Raw genomic sequence first — 11107 nt, forward strand, 5'->3', positions numbered from 1 at the left:
GTCCTTACATGAGAACTTGACCTTCCAGGTCAGAAGGGTGGAGTGGGCAGGGCACGGTGAATGAGCGGGTGAGAGGCCTAGAATGAGGTGGGAGAGGCAGGCAGCACCCAGACACTACCAGGCTTTGTGAGTTCTGTTCCGAGTGCAAGAGGGGGCCCTTGGAGGGATTTAAGCAGAGGAGGGAACTGAATGGCCTTTTTGGATGTTGCATGAGGAATGGATTAGAGCAAGGAATTAGCAAACCATGGCCTATATGGCCCACAGCTAAGACTGGTTTTTACTTTTTTTCTTTTTTTTTTACTTTTATTTATTATTATTATTATTATTTTATTATACTTTAAGTTCTAGGGTACATGTGCACAACGTGCAGGTTTGTTACATATGTATATATGTGCCATGTTGGTGTGCTGCACCCTTTCTTTTTTTTCTACAGAGACAAGGTCTCCCTGTGTTCCTCAGGCTGGTCTTGAACTCCTGGGCTCAAGTGATCCTCCTGCCTTGGCTCCCCAAAGTGTTGGGATTTCAGGCGTGAGCCATTGCACTGGGCCGGTTTTTACCGTTTTAAATTGATGAAAAAAATAATAAAAAGAAGACTATTTTGTGACGCACAAAGGTTATAGGAAATTCAAATTTTGGCATCTACAAATAAAGTTGGATTGGAACACAGCCACACTCATTTATTTATAAATTGCCTTTGGCTGTTTTCACACCACAATGGTAGAGTTAGTACCGTAGGTGCGACAGAAATCATATGGCTCAGACAGCCTAAAATATTTACTATCTGCCCCTTACACAAAAACTGGCCTGACTCATGGATTAGAAAGAGAGAAAAAGCAGGGAAATCCAATTAAGAAGTATCTGCGGTAGATGGTACGGGGTCAGATGACCACAGAAGATGAACAGGGTGGCAGCCATGGAGGTATGAGATATGCATGGGGCCGGGCAAGGTGGCTCATGCCTGTAATCTCAGCACTTTGGGAGGCCAAGGAGGGCGGATCACCTGAGGTCAGGAGTTTGACACCAGCCTGACCAACATGGTGAAACCCCGTCTCTACTAAAAATAAAAAAATTAGCCTGTAATCCCAACACTTTGGGAGGCCGAGGTGGCTGGATCACCTGAGGTCGGGTGTAATCCCAGCTACTCAGGAGGCTGAGGCAGGAGAATCACTTGAACCGGGGAGGCGGAGGTTGCAGTGAGCTGAGATTGCACCGTTGCACACCAGCCTGGGCGACAAAGCAAGACTCTGTCTCAAAAAACAAACAAACAAACAAAAAAAATCATCACTCATGTCAGAACACAGGCAAAAATATGAACATGGTCCAAAACACAAAAATGACCAAATATCTCCCTATTTTAGCCAATGTGATTCACTGCAGCTGCTTTGCCAATCACAACTTTAGTTTTGCTTCTTTCCTCCCACCTTATAGATAACATTAATTAAGGTACAGGATGCGGGAGGACAAAAAAACTTCCTTTTACCCTCTTAGGTTCTGTAGCTGAGTGTAAGAATTAAACTGGCTGGGCCAGGCACGGTGGCTCATGCTTGTAATCCCAGCACTTTGGGAGGCTGAGGCGGGTGGATCACCTGAGGTCAGGAGTTCGAGACCAGCCTGGCCAACATCGTGAAAACAAAAATTAGCCAGGCGTGGTGGGGCGTGCCTGTAATTCCAGCTACTCAGGAGGTGGAGACAGGAGTATTGCTCGAACCCAGGAGGCGGAGGTTGCAGTGAGCCGAGATTGCACTACTGCACTCCAGCCTGGGTGACAGAGTGAGACTCCGTCTCAAAAAAAAAAAAAAGAATTAAACTGGCCATGTGTGGTGGCTCATACCTGTAATCCCAGCACTTTGGGAGGCTGAGGCGGGAGGCTTGAGCCTAGGAGTTCAAGACTAGCTGGGCAACATAGTGAGACCTTATCTCCACAAAAATAATTTAAAAATTAGCCGATGGTGGCACAAGCCTGTGGTCCCAGATATTTGGGAGGCTGAGGTGGGAGGATCATTTGAGCCTGGAAGGCTGAGGCAGCAGTGAGCTGACTGTGCCATGGCATTCCAGCCTGGGAGACTGAGACCCTGTCTTAAAAAAAAAAAAAAAAGAAAGAAAGAAAAGAGGAAAAAAAAAAACCTGATGTAAGACAAATATACAGAAGAAAGGCATACAATTTTTTTTTTTTTTTAGATGGAGTCTTGCTCTGTCGCCCAGGCTGGAGTGCAGTGGCGTCATATCGGCTCACTGCAACCTCTGCCTCCCAGGTTTGAGCGATTCTCGTGCCTCAGCCTCCTGAGTAGCTGGGACTACAGGAGAGCGTCACCACGCCGGGCTAATTTTTTGTATTTTTAGTAGAAACCGGGTTTCACTGTGTTGGCCAGGATGGTCTTGATCTCCTGATCTCGTGATCTGCCCGCCTCAGCCTCCCAAAGTGCTGGGATTACAAGTGTGAGCCACCATGGCCAACCAGGCATACAAATTTTATTTAATATTTTTGCGTGTACATGGGAGACTTCAGAAAGAAAATGAAGACCCAAAGAAGCTGTTAGGCTCAAAAGCTTATATACCCTTACCTTTTTACACAAAGAACAATCAATTGTGGGCCAGGCACCGTGTCTCACATCTGTAATCCCAGCACTTTGGGAGGCGAGGGGGCAGATCACCTGAGGTCAGGAGTTCAAGACCAGCCTGGCCAACATGGTGAAACCTGGTGTCTACAAAAATACAAAAATTAGCCGGGCATGATGGCATGTGCCTGTAATCCCAGCTACTTGGGAGGCTGAGGCAGGAGACTCGCTTGAACCCGGGAGGCAGAGGTTGCAGTGAGCCAAGATTGTGCCACTGCACTCCAGACTGGGTGACAGAGGGAGACTGTCTCAAAAAAAAAAAAAAAAGAAAAAAGAACAGTCAATTGTTCACAACTGGGCACAGTGGGGATGTGACAAGACAAAGAGGCTTGAACTAGGGGCAGTAAATTGTGAGACAGTGACTAGGAAATAGATGGAGGAAAGTAATGGAAGATAAGGCTTATTTTAGTAGGTTTGTTTGTACAGATCCATTTGGGCATGGGTTCTCAGTCTCTTCCTGGTTTAGGTAAGGAAACTTTCCTATGGGAAATTTTATGACCTCTTTTAGGTAGAAAGGGAGAGGTCAGAGATCCTTTCCTGTATCTGCTGTTTCTCTTGTGCCTTCAGCCCAATATATAATCAGTATGCTAAAGTGGCATATTTTGGGGTGGCATGCTCTGAACCACTTCAATAACCAATCTTAAGGGGCAGGCACCATGGCTCATGCCTGTAATCCCAGCACCTTGGGAGGCCGGGGCGGGCGGATCACCTGGGGTCAGGAGTTCGAGACCAGCCTGGCCAACATGGAGAAACCCTGTCTCTACTAAAAATACAAAAATTTAGCTGGGTATGGTGGCGCATGCCTGTAATCCCAGCTACTCAGGAGGCTGAGGCAGGAGAATTGCTTAAACCCGGGAGGCGGATGTTGCAGTGAGCCGAGATCGTGCCACTGCACTCCAGCCTGGGCAACAAGGGCAAAATTCTGTCCCAACAACAACAACAACAACAAAAAATTATAGCATTACCCCCACTTCCTGACAGCCTCCAATTTAAAGCAAAGCCCTGTTTCTTCGACTCTTCTCCAAATCACCCAACGCAAGTCAAATCCTATAATAAGTCCTTTCTAACACCCTCTTAGACAGATGTCCCGTCATTCCCCCAGTACACATTCTCCACTGCAAACAGCAATAAACCCAAATTTCAGCTACAGGTGTGTTCCTGGTGGTGGCTGGCTGGGAACAGTGACGTTTATTGGTAGGATAGGAGGCAGTTTGAAGAGATCCTCATATTGAAGATCTTTCAAGAGTCAGAGGGGCTGGCTGGGCACAGTAGCGTGTGCCTGGAGCCCCAGCTACTCAGGAGGATGAGGCAGGAAAGTCACTTGAGCCCAGGAGTTTGAGGCCAGCCTAGGCAACATAGTGAGGCCTCTCTTGCCTCTATTTCCTTTAAAAAATGTAAGAGGAGGCCAGGTACAGTGGCTCACGCCTGTAATCCCAGCACTTTGGGAGACTGAGGCAGGCAAATCACCTGAAGTCAGGAGTTCAAGACCAGAATGGCCAACATGGAAAAACCCTGTCTCTACTAAAAATACAAAAATTAGCCAGGCATGGTGGCGCACACCTGTAGTCCCAGCTACTCGGGAGGCTGAGGCAGGAGAATTGCTTAAACCTGGAAGGTGGAGGTTGCAGTGAACCGAGGTCATACCACTGCACTCCACCCTGGGTGACAGGGCCAGACTCTGTCTCAAAAAAGGAAAAAAAAGGCTGGGCGCAGTGGTTCATGCCTGTAATCCCAGCACTTCTTTGGGAGGCTGAGGCAGGTGGATCACGAGGTCAGGAGATGGAGACCATCCTGGCTAACACTGTGAAACCCCGTCTCTACTAAAAATACAAAAAAATTAGCTGGGCGTGGTGGCACGTGCCTGTAGTCCCAGCTACTTTGGGAGGCTGAGGCAGGAGAATTGCTTGAACCCAGGAGTTGGTGGTTGCAGTGAGCCCAGATCGCACCACTGCACTCCAGCCTGGGCGACAGAGTGAGAGTCTGTCTAAAAAAAAAAAGGTAAGAGGGGCCAGATAAAGGGGGTGATTGGATGGCAGGCAGAAGAATCATTAATTATACTGACATTTATTTAAAATCTACTCTCCTCCTCACTGTTTCAAAGGGAACGCTCAGCCAGGCGTGGTGGCTCATGCCTGTAATCCCAGCCCTTTGAGAGGCTGAGGCAGGAGGATCACTGGAGCCAGGAATTCAAGATTACAGTGAGCTATGATCATGCCACTGCACTCCAGCCTGGGTGACAGAGCCAGACTCCTGTCTTTTTATTTTATTTTTTCCTGCGAGACAAGGTCTCATTCTGTCACCCAGACTGGGATGCAGTGGTGCGATCTCGGCTCACTGCAACCTCCACCTTCCAGGCTCAAGTAATTGTCCCCTGTCAGCCTCCTGAGTAACTGGGACTACAGGCTTGCATATGCCCAGCTAAGTTGTTGTTGTTGTTGTTATTGTTGTAGAGACAGAGTCTCACCAAGTTGCCCAGGCGGGTCTCAAACGCCTGGGCTCAAGCAATCTGCCCACCTTGGCCTCCCAAAGTGCTAGGATTACAGGTGTAAGCCACTGTGCCCGGCCTAGACGCCTGTCTTAAAAAAAACAAAAACAAAAAAGAAATGCTGAAATGGAAAATACTCTTTGCTCCCAATGGACTGTCTCTTCTAAGAGTGGGAGACAAGTAAACCTACAACTACAATGGAACGCGATAAGCTTGCTGAGAGAAGAGGCATGGAGGGAGGGGGGGCACAGAAAAGGGGCACTTTAAGTCAGCTTAGGATGGGGTAAAGAATGAACAGTGTTGGCTGGGCACGGTGGCTCATGCCTGTAATTCCAGCACTTTGGGAGGCCGAGGCAGGCAGATCACCTGAGGTCTGGAGTTCAAGACCAGCCTGACCAGCATGGAGAAACCCTGTCTCTACTAAAAATACAAAATTAGCTGGGTGTGGTGGCACATGCCTGTAATCCCATCTACTCTGGAGGCTGAGGCAGGAGAATGGCTTGAACCCGGGAGGTGGAGGTTGCTGTGAGCCGAGATTGCGCCATTGCACTCCAGCCTGGGCAACAAGAGCGAAACTCCGTCTCAAAAAAATAAATAAATAAAAAGAATGAACAGTGTTGGCCGGGCGTGGTGACTCACACCTGTAATCCCAGCACTTTGCAATCCCAGCACTTTGGGAGGGTAAGGCAGGAGGATCACTTGAGGCCAGGAGTTCAAGACCAGCCTGGGCAACATAGCAAGACCATGACTCTAGAACAAAACAAAAAAACAAAACAAAAAAATACTGGGGCATGGTGGCTTGCACCTGTAGTTTCAGCTACTGGGGAGGCTGATGTGGAGGGACCACTTGAGTTCAAGGCTGTAGTGAGCTGCAATTATGCCACTGCACTCCAGCCTGGGCAACAGAGAGAGACCCTGCCTCAAAAAAAAAAAGAAAAGAAAAGAAAAGAAAAGAAAGAAAGAAAAAGGAAAAGATAGTGTCAAGGAAGTCTTCCCAAAGAAGGTGACACTTAAGCTGAATCTTGAGATTGATCGAGGGGGAGGGGGAGGGTGCTCCAGGCAGAGGCAGCAGGAAATGCATGGGCAGGGAGGCCGCCTCTAGCTATAATGGATTTATGAGCAAGGCAAATGTCCTGCTTAATGCCACATTTTCCCAGAATGCATTTTTAGGATTTGAGAGGTTTTCCATGGTGGATAGAAAGAACCATGTGCGGGCCAGGCACGGTGGCTCATGCCTGTAATCCTGGCACTTTGGGAGGCCAAGATGGGTGGATCACTGGACGTCAGGAGTTTGAGACCAGCCTGGCCAACATGATGACGCCCCATCTCTACTAAAAATACAAAACTTAGGTGTGGTGAACCTGTAGTCCCAGCTACTTGGGAGGCTGAGGCAGGAGAATCACTTGAACCTGGGAGGCAGTGGTTACAGTGAGCCAAGATCGCACCACTGGACTCCAGCCTGGGCAACAGAGGGAGACCATCTCAAAAAAAAAAACAACAAAAGAACCATGTTCGAGCAGTGGAGACCTGCCTTGCACACTCCAGTAAAGCGCTTTGTTTCAGGCTGTGCTTTGAGGCATCTTAACTAACCCCAGGTTTTACTTCGGCTCCCTTTGCTACATAGCAAAACCACTTCCTAGGGGCTTAAAGTCATTCATTCCCATCTGATGAGCCCCCAGATGCAGGGTGGACAAAAAACTTTAATACTTTTTTTTTGAGACAAGGTCTCACTTTGTTGCCCAGGCTGCAGGCTGGAGTGCAGTGGCATGATCATAGCTCACTGAAGCCTCAACCTGTTGGGCTCTGGTGATCCTCCCACCTCAGCCTCCCAGTAGCTGGGACCACAGGCGTGTGCCACCACACCCAGTTGATTTTTGTAGTTGTTGTAGAGACAGAGTTTTGCTATGTTGCCCAGGCTGGTCTCCAACTCCTGAGCTCAAGCGATCCTCCCGCCTTGGCTTCCCAAAGTGCTGGAATTACAGGTGTGAGCCACCATGCCTGACCTAACACCTACTTTTTGATGCTGCTAATCTGACAGTGAGGAGGATGGAGTGGCCCTGCTCTGCTTTCTTGCCATGGAGAGGCCGTGTCATGAAGCCCTGTTTACAGACGTTTTGCTCCTGTCTGTAACACTACTTTGACATAAGGCATCACAAGGCAACTCACTGAAAAGCTGCTGGGGATAGCAAACCAAGGTCTCAGGTTCACACTGGAAGCTGGACAGACCATGAGCATGACCCTGAATAATGCCAGTTTCTTTGATCTGCAAAACAATATTTGGCTTTATTGGGGTGTTTTCTAGAACAGATAATGTAGCACAGTGGAAAGAGCATTGGACTTGGGCTATGGGATTTTGGGTTCATCCTTTCAGTTTTCTAGGCTTTAGCTTCCTCATCCTAAAATGAAAGGGGAAGGATTAGACGGTCCCTCGGATCCCTTCCAGTTTTGGGACCTGTGGATTTCGTGACTTGCTGTAAAAGCAGCAGAAGCTTTCAACTCTAGGCTCCCTCTGGGAAATTTCCATCTAGTGGGATGCGTTTTCCTGGTGAAGGCTAATACACGACTCTGATTCTGTTCAAGTGGTCTGTGGATCCAAATGTTTTGCTGAGTCTGCAAAATCATCAATAATCCACATGGATGTGTGTGAGCTTTCCACACAGTCACTGCATCCAGTGGTTTGCAAATAACAGCCTCAAGGATTCTGCAGAACTTGCAGCAAACTGAAGATTAAATTCCTCCTCAAGGCTTGGAAACAGACTGAATACAGGCATCCAGAGTCCTTGCTGCTTGGCATCTCCAACACATATTTAAATGCCCTAACAGGAGCAAATCCATAACAGTGCTGAATGAAGGCAGGAGTCCCACACTCTGGGAGCAGCAATCAGTGTCAAAAATACAATTTTGGGCCTGGACGCGGTGGCTGATGGCTGTAATCACAGCACTTTGAGAGGCTGAGGTGGGCAGATCACTTGAGGTGAGGAGTTTGAGACCAGCCTGACCAACATGGTGAAACCCCGTCTCCATTAAAAATACAAAAATTAGGCTGGGCACAGTGGCTCATGCCTGGAATCCCAGCACTTTGGGAGGCCAAAGCGGGCGGATCACCCGAGATCAGGAGTTCAAGACCAGCCTGGCCAAAACGGTGAAACCCCGTCCCTATTAAAAATACAAAAATTAGCCAGGCATGGTGGTGAGCGCCTGCAATCCCAGCTACTCGCAAGACTGAGGCAGGAGAATCACTTGAACCCGGGAAGCAGAAGTTGCAGTGAGCCGAGACTGTGCCACTGCACTCCAGCCTGGGCGACAGAGTGAGACTCTGTCTCAAAAAACAAAACAAAATAAAACAAAAAAAAAGAACCAAACAAAAAACAAACAAACAAAAAAACAACAACACAAAAATTAGCTGGGCATGGGGGCATGTGCCTGTAGTCCCAGCTACACAGTTGGCTGGGGCAGAATTGCTTGAACCCAGGAGGCAAAGGTTGCAGTGGGCCGAGATTGAGTCCCTGCACTCCAGCCTGGGCGACACAGTAATACCGTCTCAAACAAAACAAAAACAACAACTATACATACATATATATATAAATTTGGATAGTGATGGAAGTGTCAAATAGCTTCATAAATACCAAAAAAACAAAACAAAACACACACACACACACTCAAGCCTCAAGCGGGCATGGTGTCACATGCTGTAATCCCAGCACTTTGGGAGGCCGAGACGAGTGGATCCCTTGAGGTCAGGAGTTCGAGACCAGCCTGGCCAATATGGTGAAACCCTGTCTCTACTAAAAATACAACAATTAATCGGGCGTGGTGGTGTGCCAGTAATCCCAGCTACTCAGGAGGCTGAGGCAGGAGAATTGCTTGAACCCAGGAGGCGGAGGTTGCAGTGAGCCGAGATCGCGCCACTGCACTCCAGCCTGGGTGACAGAGTGAGGCGCTGTCTCAAAAAAAAAAAAAAAAAAAATTAGCCCAGCGTGGTGGTCTGCGCCTGTAGTTCCAACTGCTTGGGAGGCTAAGGTGGGAGGATCGATGCCCAGGAAGTTGAGGCTCCAATGAGCTGAGATCGAACTACTACACTCCAGCCTGGGTGACAGAAACCCTGTCCAAAAAAAAAAAGAAAAACCAAACCCAAGCCTCACCTCTGTCTTTATATATGGGGGATGAGACACCATCCACACACTAAATCAATATCATGTCATAAAATACCATATGTACAGAATGCCAGGTAACTTCTCTAGGCAGCCAGATTTGCACAGCAATCGCCAGAGTGCTGAAATAATATATGTGAAATGTGTAAACTGTAAAGTGTTCTGCAAACAGACATTGTGATATAATCTCCTGGTGATATGTTAGTTACTGATAAGGTCTCATGATGATGGTGAAGAAGCCCTTTGCTGTTCTCAGAAGTCCTCACTGGTTAGAAAACCGTCATAGAAAGAACTGGAACTCCAGAATCAGAAACCAGGGTTTTGAGTTCTGGTAGATCCTTCCTCTCACTGTTCTCATGCCAAAGCCCTCTTCCAAGGATGGCAAAAATCCCAAGTGGCAGAAATAAAAATGATTCTGTCTGTGTTACAGCCAAGCTAGTTCCCTATGGGTGGATGAGTCACATGTGAGCAGAGCTGGGAGAACTACATTTACATTCCTTTACATTTCCCTCTTTCCACCCTCCTTTCCACTGCCCTGTGTTGGCTCCTGTCGCTATGACAAAAAACTTGCTCAAGAAACCCCAGCTTAGTTTCTCTATGGGGAGGAAGGTGGCAAGCTACCTGGGTAGCTGTGGTTCTTGTTGGTGAAGCCCATGGCCCAGTGGGGCGGTGTCTTTGTACAAATCCACACACGTCCTCCCCTGTGCTCCAAATTGTGAGTGCACATCCCCAAAGACTTTTTTTTTTTTTTGAGACAGAGTTTTGCCCTTGTTGCCCAGGCTGGAATGCAGTGGCACGATCTCGGCTCAACCACAACCTCCGCCTCCCAGGTTCAAGCAATTCTCCTGCCTCAGCCTCCTGAGTAGCTGGGATTACAAGTATGCACCACCACGTCCAGGTAATTTTGTATTTTTAGTAGAGAGGGGGTTTCACCATGTTGGCCAGGCTGGTCTCGGGCTCCCGACCTCAAGTGATCCACCCGCCTCGGCCTCCCAAAGTGCTGGGATTACAGGCGTGGGCCACTGCGCCCGGCCTCCCCTTCATACTTGACTATCCCTGTGTCATAAGGACTCAGAATCTGAGGGTTTTGTCATAATTATACACAGTCTAGAAGACCAAGCCACACTTGGGTTGGCAGCATTTAAGCTGCTGGGTCATCCTGCAAGGAGGCATATTTGTGAAACTGGATGAAGAAAAAGTAGGAAAAGCTACCTACTTTTTAAGCTCAGGAAGCATTTTATAAGATTTCCAAGGCTAACAGCTGCAGCCTCCTCTAGCTCCTCTAGCTGGGTTGACTGTAGTCCCTAAAAAGATACGTCCATATCCTAATCCCCAGAACCTGTGGATGTTATTCTATGTGGAAAAATGATCTTTTTGGATATAATTAAAGGTTTGTTTTTGGCAGGTGCAGTGGCTCATGCCTGTAATCTCAGCACTTTGGAAGGCCAAGGTGGGGGGATCACCTGAGGTCAGGAGTTCCAGGCCAGTCTGCCCAACATGATGAAACCCTGTTGCTACTAAAAATACAAAAATTAGCCGGGTGTGGTGGTGGGCGCCTGTAACCCAGCTACTCGGGAGGCTGAGGCAGGAAAATTCCTGGAACCCGGGAGTTGGAGGTTGCAGTAAACCGAGATTGCGCCACTGCACTCCAGCCTGGGCTGGACAGAGCGAGACTCCATCTCAAAAAAAAAAAAAAAAAAAAAAAGGTTTGTTTGAGACAGGATCTCAATCTGTCACCCAGGCTGGAGTGCAGTGGCGTGAACATGGCTCACTGCAACCTTGAACTTCTGAGCTCAATGGATCCTCCTACCTCAGCCTCCTGAGTAGCTAAAACTACGGCCACATGCCATCACACC

The sequence above is a fragment of the Homo sapiens genome, chromosome 11, assembly GCF_000001405.40.
Source record: "Homo sapiens chromosome 11, GRCh38.p14 Primary Assembly".
NCBI lineage: Eukaryota > Metazoa > Chordata > Mammalia > Primates > Hominidae > Homo > Homo sapiens.